We start from the raw sequence: 15,938 nt of genomic DNA, 5'->3' as shown, positions 1-15,938 counted from the left end.
TCCATATATCTAGGGAGGGACCTGGGGATCTACATTTGAACCCTTCTGGTGATTTTACTGTGGTTTTTCATCTGATCCATAGTGACGAATATATGGTTTATTAGTGCTTCTCAAATTTATTGTGTATACGGATCTCCTGGGGACCTGGTTAAAAGGTAGATTCTGATTCATTAGGTCTAGGGTAGGGCCTAGATTCTTCATTTCTAACAAGCAAGACACCATTTCTTTTCTTACTTGGTTTAGAAAGCAATATTGAACACCTCCCTCTGTGGTACTAATGTGTCAAGAAACCTATCATTGGCATTAGAATATCAGGTTTTAATATTTTATCCCCTTGAAAATTTTCTACATATTTGGAGACAAAACAAGTATTGCCAACAGACCTGGGGAGAAGGGCCTGGACCCGGCTCAACTTGGCCTTGGCTAGCCCGTTGTTTCCTTTACTGGACACGACCAGATGGCCTTCATCATCGTGGCTGGAATCTGCCTCTGCCTCTACTTCCTGTTTCTATGCTTCATGGTATTTCAGGTGTTTCGGAACATCAGTGGGAAGCAGTCCAGCCTGCCAGCTATGAGCAAAGTCCGGCGGCTACACTATGAGGTGGGCAGATTTCTTGGCTCGTTCTGGAACTGGTGCTTGCTTGATCTTTCCACTTGATGTGTAAACACACACACCCTGGAGATAGAAAGCCTTTACTTTGAAATACAAATTGAGAGATTCTCATGTAGGATCTCTGGGCAAAATTAGAGGCCAAATCTTACTCTGAGAAGCATCTAGCTGGCCTAAATCTTGGTGTTTTCTGTGGTACAAATGTGTTTCCATTTTCAGTAATGAATAAACTTGTTCAGCCGGTTCTTCAGCTTGGTGATGGAATGTAGGTTACATACTAGCTGGGAGATTGGACTATGGCATAATTGGGATTTTGTTGGGATGAGGCTTTAGTCAAAGTTCTGTCCCAGAATCAACCCTGTCCTGTAATTAAACAGGGTTTAGCCCACGTGATCTGATTTCCAGACTCTTAACAGGCCACATTCCCCTAAAATATCCAGCAGATGCTCAGACAGAGTTCAGTAATCTCTGTTTATAGATTATGTTCCTCATTCAAGAGAAACACTTAACATCCTCAAATCCCCAATGCAAGCAACACATCCTTGATTTATCAGGGATCCCCTGGGTTCATGCCTAAGTGGCTGTCCTTGGAGAAACAAGCCTAATTCCTGTATGAAAAGAGAAGCAGAAACTACAGAACCTCAGAGTTTTTATATGCAGTAGATCTGCACAGAAGAGCCCCTGAATAATAGGCCTCCCTCTCTGAAACACAGGTTCTCTTAAATCCTGCTCTTAGGAAACCACAGGCACTTTCTAAGGCTTGCCTGTCTCCAGAGCTGGAGTGACATGAGAAAATTCAACCAAATCCACTTCATGTTGATTAATATGCACATTTCTTTTTGTTCACTGGAGCAGAATTTTATTACAACCACAGAAAACTTGGATTTGGTAACTTTGAACCCTTGCAGAGAAGCATAACCAGCTTAGCAGGGAAATTAGCAGCCTCACGACGTGTTGTGAATATAATTTCCCAGGCTCTCGTATCGCTGCTTTATGAGTGATAAGAACATAGGAAATACTTGGCCCAAGAAATTTTCAGCCACACTCACCTCTGCAGAAGAAATATTACTATGGGAAACTATTTTACTGTCATTCTTAGGGATTTGGTTTTACAGATTTCTTTAAAATTAAGCTTTTTATAGATTTACATAGTGAGAAAAGGATTGGTAGCTGATGGAGTATTAAACTACTCTTTCTTTTCTAATAGGGGCTAATTTTTAGGTTCAAGTTCCTCATGCTTATCACCTTGGCCTGCGCTGCCATGACTGTCATCTTCTTCATCGTTAGTCAGGTAAGTGGACCCTGAGATGTCAAGGTGAGAATGTCTCTGCAGAGATCCCTCTACCCTGCACAGAAATTCAATAGAGCCACTGAGGAAAGGAGGAGAGAGGCCATAATTCTGGACAGCTGGTCAAGCCATATTTTTCTGGGTCTTGATATCACCTGGCCAAATGGACTAAATTTTCTCTTTCCGTAAAACCTTGTAGGAGATAAAAGTTTCCAAATAAATTAAAAGCCTACAGCCAGATTGAAGGGCACATATTTTATTTACTTATGAGAAAAACTTATCAAGCCGTGTAGCACAACACTAACAAGCATAAATTTGATTCCATTTTTATCTAGCATTAACATAGATCCTTATACAGTCCATCAGCTATTCCTTGTAATAATTATATTGCCACTTAAATATGAAATGTAATTCAAAAGTCTCTTTGATAGCATCTTGTCTTTTCACTGGTTATTTCCAAAACTCAACATTTTGCTATACTTGAAAATCTCAATAACAATCATTTTAAAATATTCATAACTTGTTTTGAAGGGTGGGAAGTACTGTTTAAATCTAATGTATCTATTATTCATTTGAGCATCACAAAAATCCTACGAGGTAAGTAGGGCAGGAATTGTTATCCTAGCTTGCTAGACTATGATATCTAATAGCTTTGGAGAAAGTTTTCATTTATGTTGCTTCCTAGCTGGATAGGACTGTGGATGGATTACTTAACAGTTCTAAGGTTTAATTTTCTTATCTGCAAAATAAATATTACAATAGAACCACAGAAGGTTGCTGTAATGACTACAGGAAGTAATATTTACAAAGAGGGATGCATTCTGAGAAACGCATCATTATGTGAGTTCCTCATTAAGGGAACATCATAGAGTGTACTTACACAAACCTAGATGGTATAGCTTACTACATACCTAGGCCATATGGTGTAACCTATTGCTCCTAGGCTACAAACCTGTACAGCATGTTCCTCTACTGACTACTGTAGGCAATTGTAACACAATGGTAAGTATTTGTGTATTTCAAACATATCTAAACATAGAAAAATACAGTAAAAATATGATATTATAATCTTACAGGACCACTGTCATACATGTGGTCTGTTGTTGACTGAACCATCATTGTGGCAACCAAATGTAGTTAGCAGAGCACCTGGCACATTGTAAGCATGAGTAGCTGTGTTCTTATGAATAGCAAGAAGCTTGAATGTCTTTCTTGCCAAAGGACATGCAATAAGTTAGAGATCAGAACGCAGTCCTTCTGACTCTTTTGCCAGTGCTTTGTCATTTAGCCAAAATGGAGGATTTCAGTAGTGTAGATAGTGTCTTAGGACACGACTTGCTCCATTCTGCTGGGAAGTTTCCCTAGTACAGGGACTCCTAACCATTTTTGTATATGGACCCCTTTAGCAACCTGAAGAAGGCTACGAGTCTCCTCTTAGAATGGTTTCAAATAAGTAAAATAAAATACTTCGAATTTCAAGGGGAATCATCTCTATATATTATATGTAATATATATTTACAGTGAAACAGATGCTACAGGTATATTACAGATTTATATCTACAACTGTAATTGATGTGAAAATATCATGATTTCTATTGAGAAAATCACAGTAGTACTAACACTATAGGGATTTTTCTACATCCATAATTGAAGTAAACATTATCTTTCAGCTAGAGACTAGTGAAAATATATAATTTTTTCTATTCTAGTTTATGGACCCCTTGAATTCTATCCAAGGACACCCAAGAGGACCCCAAGTTTGGAGCCTCTAGAGCCCTGTTGTTGGCTCTGCCACTGGGGAGTGTTAGTGTTGCTAGCTCTGCTGAGGTTGAAATGAACGTGGAAAAAATAAACTGATACACATATATGTCTTTGTAAGTTCTGTTCACCACATCTGCTTTGACCTACAACACTGCTGTGTTTATATCAGGTTGTTTATAAAACCTTGGAAACTTCGCTTTCCACTCCATTTGCAGTAAAACTATTTCAAACTCTGAAAGAGTGTTTTATTCTACCAGCTAAGGCTCAAACATCCATATTCAAACAAGAGTGTCTGAGGCCTGACTTCTCCCGTGGCTATTCCCTCCTATGACCAAAATGCTTTTCAGTTCCTCCAGTCCCTCAGTAGTGCACAGTGGCACTTGACACAGCCAGACCTGCAAGGCTGAGAGGGCACAGAGCACTTCCTTGGAGAAACGGCATCTCAAGGAAGATGGGTTGAGGCATAAAAGGCAATTTCAAGATATGTTTTTAGGAAAGCAGAAAGAAGGACGCTTTTGATCCTAAGGCCACACACAGGTCCTTGTGCCAGTTTGGGAGGCTGACGTCATTCTCCCCACACTGCCTCATGTATATCTTGCCTCTGCGGGGAATGCCTCCCACCTGAAGTCAAGAAGGACTGATCCCTGAAGCAGCTGCATGTTGCCAGGATTTAACCTTGTACATGTTTAATTAGTGTACTTCTTATAGCAAAGGAAGCCATCTTCCAAGGAGCATAGTCCGTGGCTTTTCTTTGGAGAAAAAGATTAATATTCTATTGCCTCAGTATTTTCTAATACAGCTTCAGCCTGTGGCTGGCTTTTTATATCTGCTGCGACAGTCGGCCCGGAGTGGATTTCAACTCTAAGGGGGTAGCAATGAGGCCTTTTGAATTCCATTAGCTCCTCACATTCCTCCTGCTGGGTTTTTTTTCTAAGATTTATTTATAGACATCTAAGACGTTTTCCGGCATAACTCTCAGTGTCCCAGGTACTGTATTAATATAGTCATCAGAGGATTTATTTTTTAATGTCATTTTGGAATGTCAGAGCAATGAGCTCACCTGAAAGGAAACCTATTGGGTAACTTTTTGAAATGGATCCCAGCCTTAGGTAAAAGGAATGTATTAAAACCCCCATTATACTCTCGGGCTTGCTGTGGGAGAGCTTGCATTTAAGCCTCATGAAATATAATGCGAGGGGATCTCGCCAGGATATTGAAGCTCTGAGGCCAGGAATGAAAGGCGACGGGAAGCTGTGGAATGCAGTGACCTTGAGGCTTTGTAGCTGGGTACTGAGGTGCAGTCTTTTAATGCCTGCCATTTTAATGGCCTCAGTCATAGCAACCAAGAGATGGTACATCGCAGTCTGGTATTTCAGCCCCTTCCCTCTGGAAAAGAAAGAGGCGTTCCATTTAGAGGTGGCGGCAGTAGGGAACAGAAGTGCAGTGCAGGGGAGAAGGTCACCGACCTTCATTAAGGGGACCCCCAGGTGCCTGACATTCAGGTCAAGCCACATGCAGCAAACTCCCAGAGAGCCTGTCCCCAGCTCTTTTGTGTGTGTGTGATCACTTCATTCTGTTACTTACAGAGGAAATGTTTCCGGTAAGAGAGCCTGTGTCTGGGATTTGGAAATCTTGTTGTTAAGTGGAATGTTGGTTGTCAAGACTACTGGGTGTAAAGAGATTTGACCTTCACTTGGCTCCAGGGGTATAATTGGGTGGTTTCACACAAAAGTAAATTGTTCAAATGTAAAATCAGGAAAAACAGGGACTTTTAGAAATAAGACTTATGCAGAGGGTGAGATTTGGGGATTTTGAGGAGGGGGGAGGGTTTGGCGGAGGGGGGCTGGGGCTACCTGATTTTTCTCTCAAAGTTAAAAGGGGGGAGACTGTTACCTCCGCCTTGGCATTAGTAAGATTTTGGATTTACAAGGCCTGCTCTGTTGAGGCTGCTCATTGTGGTACATATTGGTGGGAATGTGCTCAGAGCTGAGGATGTCTTAGGCATGAATAATTGGGAGAGGAGAGGGAAAAACAAGCCAGCCACCAAAGAGCAGAGTTACACTATCTATACCGTTTATTTCTGCAGTTCAACTCTTTGCCCACAGCAGGAAACACCACATTTACAGATTGCACATTCAGTAGGGTGTGTAATTCTGCAACTCCACTCTAAACAATGTGCATGTGTCCCAGAGCAAGTACGAGACGGGAGCATGAGTCTGATATTTCCTGTCAGGCTTGGTGTGTGCCTCTCATACTATGGGCATCTCATTCCAGTGGTTCTACTGTAAGTTTTTATTTTGTTTATATATCCAGTTTATACCATATGTTACTATGTCCAGGATATATAGTGCATACTATACAGATTTGAATAGACAAATGTGTGCATGTATGTTGTATTTGTAATGTACATTATGGGCAATGAAGTGAATTTCAAAAGGAAATTTGACCTTACATAGTCGTTGCCTCATGTGCTACCTTCAGAGCATGTGCTACCTTCAGAGATCAACCCCTGTTTAAGATAGCATTCCTACCCTTGTGTTGTATAATGGTTAAGAATACCTTCTTTTGGAGTCAGAGCCATGGCTTTCTGGCTGAGCAATCTTGGGCAAGATACTCCATCTTTCTGTGCCACAGTTTACCCATGTGTTGAATGGAAATATTACCTACCTACCTCACAGCGTCATTAATAAGACTAAATAATGTGTTTCATGTAAAAGGATTTAGTATTGTATCTGGCACATCATTAGCATTGAATAAATATGCTTATCCTTGTTATGAATACAAAAGAATCTTAGCTTTGCTAATATTTGTGTTAACCACTTATTTTAAATAAGTATAACGGAAAGCAATGTTTTAAATGAATAACACTTGTCACACATTGGCATCTCCTCTCACTTTTAAATTCAATTATTATGACTTGTGGACTGCAATACTTTGTCTTTACTTTTCAATCAAGTACTTTTAAGAGTGGTTCTTTCCATCTCCACTTTCTACCTCCATGTATTTGTCCTGGAGTCCCTACACATACCTGTACTTTACCTCTGTTCATTCAACATATGTCTATCGAGCACCACTGTGTGCAAGGCACATAGGTTGGTGTTTCCTTAGATGGGTCAGTCATGTCAATCCTAGCAAGAATCAATGTCACTAAAATTGTCAATATTGAGTATTTCCAGCTTCTGTCGCAGGAATAGGGTCTCTTACTGGCCCTTCCCTGAGCTGAAGGGTCCACTGCCTTAACAGAGTAGAAGAGCTGCCATATTGCCATATTCTCTCTTGCAGCTAGGATGCGTGACAGCCTAGCCTCCCCTCCTTAATCACATACAGAAGAGTTCTCTGTGTTATGACAGCAGGTACCTGTATTTCTGGAAACTATCTTAATGCTTTCTTTTCCTTTCCATTATATGCAATAAAAATCATCATAAGATGCTCTAAGTAATATAGTTTTTATAAAGTTAGTATATTCTGCACTTAAAGAAGAGCGACATTTGGAGACATTTCTAAGAAGTCCTAAGTAGCTTGAATGCTGGTACATTGTCCTAAAATTAGTAATGGTTATGAAATCCATCTTTGCCAGAAAACACTTCTGGGCATTTTATATAAAATGCATTATTTTCCAAAATAAATAAGAGTTCATAATAGTGGTTTGTTTATGAGTCACAAAAAGTGAAGAATTATGTATCACCAAGGCCAAACTAAAACTGCTAAGTCTATAATTGGCTAATGTGGTTAACTGACACTCCTGGTCTTTCAGAAAAAAATACCTATACTTAGACCTTAATTTGGCCTAGGGCCCCAAGTGGGTTATGGATTATACAGAAGATAATGAACACAGACCCACTGTATCATAAACAGGCAATGAAATCCACCTGCTTGTTAAAGTTCTTAACATTTCAATCTAGCCTGCCATCTTACAATTTAAAAGTGATTCCTAGAGAAAGTTTATACAACGCAGCCTCATTCAGCTGTCAAAGGAATATTTACCCAATACTTTCTTCTATTTCCATTTTAAGTGTCCCGTAGTAAGCAGAAGTGGTCAAAATCATTTCATTTGTCTCAGAGCTGGCACAAATTAGTCACTTAGCTCAGCAGCTCTGTTGACAGTTCTTAGTGTAATCCATATATCTTTAGGCAGCCCTTAAGACAATTACCAAATCATTAACACAGACAAAAGCAGCTTCAAAACATCTCTTGCAGAATTTTGAAGCATATGAAAGCTTCATAATTATTTTCATGAGTGGCTTACTTCAAGGGATGTTATAGAAATAACTAATATTTACTGAGTACCTGCCAGGCAGGTTCTAGAAATATTTTTACTTAATTCTCTTCGATAACCTGCAAGCTTTTATGTTACACTTACGGACACTGAAGTTCTGAAGTCTGGAGTCTTCATCTTGTCTTACATTAAGCCGAGTGAGTGGTAGACACTGGATTTGAATTAATCTATGGTGCATCAGGCCTTAAAGACATGGCAGCAGAGAACTGGTCTCTGCCTGCAGGGAATTGACATCTAGCTGGGAAGACAGACAGCAGAGGAGGAATTATAATTGTGAATAAGTGATGGGCTCAAACACAGTTTGTTTAACTTAGGGATAGCAATGAATTGCTGTTTTTAGGAAGAGACACTCCCCAGGTGATACTAATCTGTGGGCAAGGTAAGGACCACTGACTGTGCCTGACAGAAAGCTAGAGAACCTTCAGTTGACCTTAATTTACACCGAAATGATTCAGATTAAAAGATGGAGTCTTACATGGCCCTTCATGTTTCCCACATGTAGAAGAGACTTGGTTTTCATGTTGGTTGGTTCCTTTATTGGTGTTATGTTTCTTCTGTTTCTTCTCTGTTTCAATTGAATATCACCATCCTTTCTCCGCAGGTAACGGAAGGCCATTGGAAATGGGGCGGCGTCACAGTCCAAGTGAACAGTGCCTTTTTCACAGGCATCTATGGGATGTGGAATCTGTATGTCTTTGCTCTGATGTTCTTGTATGCACCATCCCATAAAAACTATGGAGAAGACCAGTCCAATGGTGAGTTTCTGTCTCTTTAGAACAGCTTAAGTCAGGATAAATAGGCTTCTGTCTTTACAAGATTTAAATGGCTAAAGCTCTGAGATGCCCAGTGAAACTTTCCCTCCAAGTATACTCCTCACACTGGGAGACGGTGAATGAGCACCCAGGGGACTCACCCATAAGACAAAAAGCCCACACAAGCCAGATCTTTCTTTAAGTCCTCATTTTTAAATCTCTAAAATACATTGAGAATATTGCATGCTAAGTCTAAAATATGTCTTGATTTTAGAACAAGAGTCAAATTTTCTTCTTTACATTTTTGAGCACAATTGACTGTTGGAAACTATGCCATGTTTATTCTTCCCATTTGAGAAGCAGAATCCTAAGATATCAGGTGGAGGGAGTCTGGGCCCTGAGAGCTGAAGATGGAATAGGCTTCATTTTTCTTCTGCTCATTTTTCTTCAAGGTGATTTTTCGATGTATGTCTAAACCAATAGCTATTCTCCTGTCCCCAGTTCTTCCTGTCCTTTAGTGCTGGTATGTGCTGCTGCCTTTTTATATCTTATAATCACAGAACACTGAGACATGGATGCTGCAAGTAGCCTTAGAGAATCCAGTCATTTTATAGATAAAGAAACTGAGGCCTAGAGAAGGGAAGATCTTGCTCAGGGTTTCTTCACTAGCCACAGCAGACAGAAATGATTAACACTGTCTAGGCCAGTGCTGTTAACAGGTAACAGGTGGCCTGATAAACAACTGATCTAATAGATGCTTTTTCTGTTTGGTTCAGCCTTATTCCTCATTCTGTCTCTTTTTACACCTGCTTTACTCTAGCCATGCATTTGCTATTCCCCAAACATAGGAAGCCCTTTCTCAAATCAGTGCTCTAGTGCCTTTCACTCTGCCTTGCAGTGGAAACCAGGGTAGCAGCCCCCCAGAGCCAAGGGTTGGCCTCACCTTTAGGAAGTACTCAGTGAGTGTGTGTTGCATGAGTGGATTGCACATTCTGCCTCCATCTGGGACTAATGAAACTCTACTCATCTTTTGGGCCCAGTCAAAATGCAGCATCTTCTTTAACACCTATTCCCAATCACCCCAATTAGAATCCAGCAAATGACATTCAATGGAATATTGTCTCCATGAAATGTTGATAAATTTAGGTAGTCAAACATGCTTGAGAATGATTGAGTTGATCAGCACTAATAAGGCTTTTCACTGCAATACATGTTAATGCCTTTAGTACATTAATTTGTACTGTCAGTCTTTACAAAGCGGGGGGTGGTAACAGCATTTTCCAGAATTATTAGATCATTTGGCCCTGGCACCCTTTCTTTAGGCAGTGTATCTCTTGAAACTGTTGTCCTAAGGAATATGCCTAGGGGATCATGAGTCTACTTTCCACATGACATTTATTGTGTAGAGGTGGAAGATGAGTCATCTGTGCCTTTATGCTCCTGCTGGATCATCGACTCCTTCAGGGCAAGGACCAGTTCTTTAGGATACTTTTAAAATATTGAGTGAATTAATGCTTAGAAGTAAGAGTTCTAGATTAGCCTTCAGTGATCTTGTGGGGAGAAGGGAGGGGGGTAGTTACTTGAGAGATGAGATGAAGTGGAGCAGGAGAGGAAGGCATCTGTGCTGGGGGTCAAGGGACGTGGAGTGGTCTCAGCCACTGTCTGTCTTCATCCTGTATTTGCCATGTCCATGCGAGAGCATGCTGGACATGAGTTTCCCTCACCCCTTGACCTCTTTGGAGTAGACATGTTACAATCAGTTTCAAGCCCATCTCTGGTCTGAGGTGAGAATACAGAATATTTACTTACCTACCCCCTGCCCAACTTTGGTTTGACTGACTGTTTTGCTAGAAGGCTTGTGAGCTAGGCAGCCTTCTTCCTTTCCATTTCTAGTAAAAACACCACTCGGTGTTTTTACTGTACATGTGGAAAATGGGAGCATTCAGCCTGTCAAGCAGTGGGCTTCCACAACACGAGCAGCAAGCACTGCTGGGCTTGTGGACAAGAATCTTGATTTCATTCCATGGTCATCCTGTGGGGGACACTGAAGGAAACCATGTGGCCTTGTCCTTGATGTGAGTAGGTAGAGTTTCTACCTTCCAGAGAAATACCACTTAAAGCAATGGCTGGACTTCCTGGATGATGGAATGATAATACCGGTGGGAAATAATTATCAAGTACTGACTGTGTGCTACAGCACTTTATGTACATAAATTCTTTTGGTTGTTTTTACTGTGTGACTGTTGGCAAAACACTTAACCCTCTGTGCACCACTGCTCCCAAATGTAAGTGATCTCCTAAAAGTCCTTTTGAACTACGAATTTCTGTGGTTAGCCTGGGTGCAATGGCTCACACCTATAGTCCTAGCACTTTGGGAGGCCAAGGCTGGAGGATTGCTTGAGCCCAGAAGTTTGAGACCAGCCTAGGCAACATAGTGAAACCCCATCTCTACAAAAAAAAAAAAAAAAAAAAAAAAAGCCAGGCATGGTGGTGTGCACCTGTAGTCCCAGATATTCAGGAGGCTGAGGCAGAAGGATCCCTTGAGCCCAAGGAGTTTGAGGCTGCAGTAAGCCATGATTGTACCACTGTACTCTAACCTGGGTGATAGATAGAGGAGGCCCTGTCTCAAAAGAAAAGAAAAGAAAAGAAAAGAAAGTCCATGGTTGTCTTTCTTCCTATTAGCAGGGAAGGGGCAGAAGAACACTTCTTGCCACTAAGTGGCAGCCCAGAGAGTGATATCTGTCATAGGTAAGGGATTTCCAAACACTGGTGAGAACGTGTCCAACTTTAACACTGTTCAGCAAGTGGGAGCCCAGAGCTGTGGCCAACCCTGCAGAGGCAGGATGACTACAGACCACCATGTTGGACAGATTCTTGAGATTTGAGCCATATATTAGGCAGCTCCCATCAGGACTTCCCACCCTACACAGTAGCCAGTCTCCTAGGCTTGAAATGTTGCAATTGAGAAAAGCACTTCACTCTTCCTCAACAGAGTTTTTCATCAAAGACAGCTTGATCTGTAATTTCATGGAAAACTTGCAAATAATTCTCAACAAGAGGTCATATCCCCTGAATCCTCTGCTAAGTGGGTGTTTTTAAATGTTCACAGTTGTTTTGGTTTGTGACTATAACTGGGACATGCCTTTGGCATTTAGTGTCCAGATTCTAGGGGTGCTACTAAATGTTGTTCAATAGGCAAAACAAGGCTCATGTCATAAAGAAATGTCCTGCCTGTGAAATGCCAAGTAGACCCTCTGTGAAAAAACATTCTTCAGGCAATTTAGTGGGCAAACTATTTGGGGACCATATGCTGATCCTAAACACAAAAGTCATAAGATTTAGCAGTTCTCCTTTGGTAACATGATCTGTGATTTCCCAGCACCCCCGGGAACCCCTGGCAGCTTGTGGGCCCTTCCCTTTCCTGCATGGTGCTGTGACCTTGTGCATTTGGAAGGGGTCTCTTCCATGTTGGGCATTCTGCTTATTTTTCTTCTCTATTTTGTTTCACTTTTCATCTCTTCATCTGCCACCAGATCACACGATGTATCCTAGGAATTACGGAGCATTTGCCAAGATTTCGAAGTTCCTTGGAAAGACCTAGTTTGGAATATTATGTGGAAACCTCAAAGAAGAACTCTTGCAAGGAAGGATACATGTGTCTTTACATTCTCTGAGTCTCTGGATGGCATTCTCTCTCCACCTCCAGCATTCCCATGCTCCTTTTCCATTCTCATGGGAAGTCTTTAAGTTGGCTTTGGCCTTTCCCTCCCTATTTCTTTCTCTCCTTTGCTTTGAAGCTTCAGAGCTAGGAATTCAGATATCTTGCTACAGAGAGTGAATCCCAGGTGTGTGGGGCTTCAGCCTTTGTTAGATGGATCCTGGACGGAGCACAGACAAGCAGTTTCTGATGCCAAAGGCAATAAGAAAAGGGAAAGAATCTTTGATGGAGGTTGTTTGGTATGTGAGTTGGAGGGACATGCCAAGTGTCAGGAGGAAGTAGAAGTGGGTAGGAAGGAAATGGAATCATTGAGCATTTCACGATAGACTTTTTCTTCTCTCTTTTGGTCATAGAATGGACAGAGAAGAACAAAGTGGGCCACAGGTTCAAGACAAGGTCACTTTCCAAAGAGCATTTTCTCATATATTTCTGTTTCTCTTTCATAGTATGGATCAGAAAGTGACCCTTTACAAATGAACCACGGAGCACCTCAGTACTTAGCTCATACCTCATACCTTAGTTCCTTAGTACTTAGCCTTGTGCCATCTTGAATGAGATGGAGTGAAGTGAAGCTCGAAGGAGTGACAGAGACATAGTCCTTGCTCTCAAGGGGTCTTTAGCCTGGTCTGGGGGACAAGATTTCCTCATCTACCTCTTGAAAGGTGGCAGGACAACTCCACACTGGAGTGTTCTCACCAGCAGATAGGTGCTGCGGGAGTGTGGCGCCACATTCTTTATAGCCACAGGCTTTCGTGGACTTCCCCTGGGTTCCTTCCTATTGGCTGGTGGACCATAGCGGCAGTGAATGTGCAAACTCATTCACATTAATCATTTTATTTTTATGTACATAGAATTATATGTGTAATCATTTTATGCATATGTGTCTGAGTGTACACACACACACGTGCACATATAGATTTTTAAATTTAGCAAAGATATTTTAGTTACCTTTCCTTCAAGGAACACTTATATTTTCTGCCCTGCTGCTGCTGCTGCTGCTGTTGCTGTTGCTGCTGCTGCCTTTTCATGACAGTTGTTCTTTTTACCTGTTGCCATAACCAATTTGTGAATCATTCTGGATGTCTTCCCAGGCAGATATGAATTGCAGCAGGCTAAAGTGAATCCTCTTCTCAGAGCAAAAATACCACCTCCCGGGGCTCCAGCAGCAAAGCCCTGCACACATGAAAAACTGTGCAAACCCACTCAACCACAATTCAGGTGGGAATAAGAAGTTGGAGCTGCTTATGAAGTCAGACAATTCTTGATAATAGCTTTGATTTTTGTGTTCTTTTGATTATAAAATTCTTGTCAGAATGTTTTAAAAAAAGAAGTGAGACACAGAATTCCCAACTAGATGACTGTGGCAGAGGGAACACAAGATGCCCTCACTGCCACCATTCCCTCCTATTTCTGTTCACGCTAAGCATTTTCTGTCTAATGCACCCACTCTGCGGGGAGCAAAAGCGGCAACACTGGTTCCGCGTCTTGGCAGCTAGCTACAGTGTGATGTCAGTTTTACTCCTGGAGGTTTCTGAGGTCTCCTGCCCCTTGTTTCATAGGAAAGATGGCTTTGGCTTTGTTGCCTCGGTAAAGCGTTGGATTAAGTCCTGAGGCCCTGACATTGGTTGCCCCCTTTTATTGACGCCATCTCCCTGATTGTACATTAGATGATCTGCCCATGGCCAGCTGAGCTTCTTGATGTCTGTGAGCACTGATGGGATTGGTCTTGTCACACGGGCTGGACCCAGACCCTAAAGCAGGTCTTAAAAGCGTTTTCCCATTCCCCAGTGAAGGTGGGAACCAACTGATGGACCGTCACCAGCCTGGCACCCCTTGCTCAGCTGTTTGTAATCAGGTGTCTTCTGCCCCCTGCCTCTCCCAGGGCTATTGCTGTGCCAGTGACCTGACCTTTCCTGGCCCAGTCAATTAAAATCATTTTTTCTGAGTCTTAGAATTCTTGTCACCCCACCATGATAGGGACATCTCAGTTACCTTCTTGGGAAGAACCTTCGGCTTCCTAAATGTTTGCTAGAGTTGCTATACGAATACTACAGACAGGGTGTCCTAAACAACAGAAGCTTGTTTTCTCACAGTCTGATATTAAGGTATCACCAACGTGGGTTTCTTCCGAGACCTCTCTGTCTGGCTTGTAGATGGATACTTTCTCCCTGTGTCTTCACGTGGTCTTCCCTTTGTGTATATCTATATTCTAATCTCCTTTTCTTTCAAAGGACACCAGTCTGTTGGAGTAGGGCCCATCCCCAATTGACCTCATTGTTAACTTAATTACTTCTTTAAGAAGGCCCTATCTCTAAACACAGTCACATTCTGAGGTTCTAGGGGTTAGAACTTCAATATATGAATTTGAGAGTTTGGGGGAGATACAATTCAGCCTGTAACACCAAGATTTTACCCCCAAACTAATAAGTTCTATTGTGTTCTTCTCCCACTTGCAGTTACTGCCTGGCAGTAAGTGTCAGGAGGTGCTTTGGAGGTCCATGGGCAATGGCTCGCTCCAAGCCTGGAATAAATGACCTCTGGGGTTGACAGGCACCGAGAGACAACTGGACCCAGGGCTCTTAACCCTGTCCACCAAAGCCACTCTGCCCCATCTCCCAGAAGGGATCCTCAAAGCTGAGCTATCCCAAGGCACACTTGTTTTCTAACTGAGGGTGTTTTCCTAAATGCCAGTGGGGAAGAACACCAGTGCCGATATGCTAGGCTAGACCCAGCCATGCAGAGTACAGAGGAACTGCCCTTGCCTGCACCAGGCAAATCTTTCATGGGTGTTTTGAGCACTTACTATATACCACATACTGTCCTGGGTATTTACTTTCTTTGGAAAAAAAAAAAAGGCCAGGTGCGGTGGCTCACGCCTGTAATCCCAGCACTTTGGGAGTCCAAGGCAGGTGGATCACAAGGTCAGGAGATCGAGACCATCCTGGCTAATGCGGTGAAACCCTGTCTCTACTTAAAAACACACACACACACACACACACACAAAATTAGCTGGGCATGGTGGCATGCGCCTGTAGTCCCAGCTGCTCAGGAAACTGAGGCAGGAGAATCTCTTTGAACCCTGGAGGCGGAGGTTGCAGTGCTGAGATCGCTCCACTCCACTCCAGCCTGGGTGACAGAGCAAGACTCCATCTAAAAAAAAAAAAAAAAAAAAAAAGAAGAAGAAACCTACCATTCACCATTTTATTATTATTTTTTCTTTTGGTTAAGATCTTTCTATGTTGCCCAGGCTGGTCTCCAGCTCCTGGGCTCAAGTGGTCCTCCTGCCTCTGTCTCCCAAAGTGCTGGGATTACAGATGTAAGCCACTGCACCAGCGACACTATTTTGTTCTTTAACATAACAATCATATTAACACCAAAAATGTAAGGCAGACATATTCTTAAGCAGTTCTTTGCATGAAAATAATTTGGCTTTAAAATACTACACTTTTCTGTTTTTCTCATTCTGCTGTGAACCAGAGACTTCGTTACAAAAAGTTATCATTTGAACTTAGCTTTGAAGGTGAATAGGAGAG

The 15,938-nt window shown here is 42.0% G+C and overlaps 1 protein-coding gene and 1 long non-coding RNA gene across 5 annotated transcripts in view; one reads left to right on the top strand and one right to left on the bottom strand.

The window, feature by feature from the left end:
• Positions 1 to 15,938, bottom strand: part of GNG12-AS1 (GNG12, DIRAS3 and WLS antisense RNA 1) — a 370,700-nt gene that overhangs the window by 56,518 nt on the left and 298,244 nt on the right. Inside the window, exon 9 of the long non-coding RNA NR_040077.1 lies at positions 8,020 to 8,173. This is a non-coding gene — a long non-coding RNA (GNG12, DIRAS3 and WLS antisense RNA 1). The remainder of the gene's footprint in view (positions 1 to 8,019; positions 8,174 to 15,938) is intronic.
• WLS (Wnt ligand secretion mediator) overlaps positions 1 to 15,938 on the top strand; it is a 134,088-nt gene that overhangs the window by 86,077 nt on the left and 32,073 nt on the right. For all 4 annotated transcript variants that reach the window (NM_001002292.4, XM_011542191.3, NM_001193334.1 and 1 more), the window contains 3 exons: positions 458 to 601; positions 1,818 to 1,901; positions 8,537 to 8,690. In NM_001002292.4, coding sequence (NP_001002292.3) covers positions 458 to 601; positions 1,818 to 1,901; positions 8,537 to 8,690 — 382 coding nt within the window. The remainder of the gene's footprint in view (positions 1 to 457; positions 602 to 1,817; positions 1,902 to 8,536; positions 8,691 to 15,938) is intronic.

This window comes from Homo sapiens, chromosome 1 (assembly GCF_000001405.40).
Source record: "Homo sapiens chromosome 1, GRCh38.p14 Primary Assembly".
NCBI lineage: Eukaryota > Metazoa > Chordata > Mammalia > Primates > Hominidae > Homo > Homo sapiens.
The sequence above is the reverse complement of the archived record's forward strand: the minus strand, read 5'-3'. Positions and strand labels throughout refer to the sequence as shown.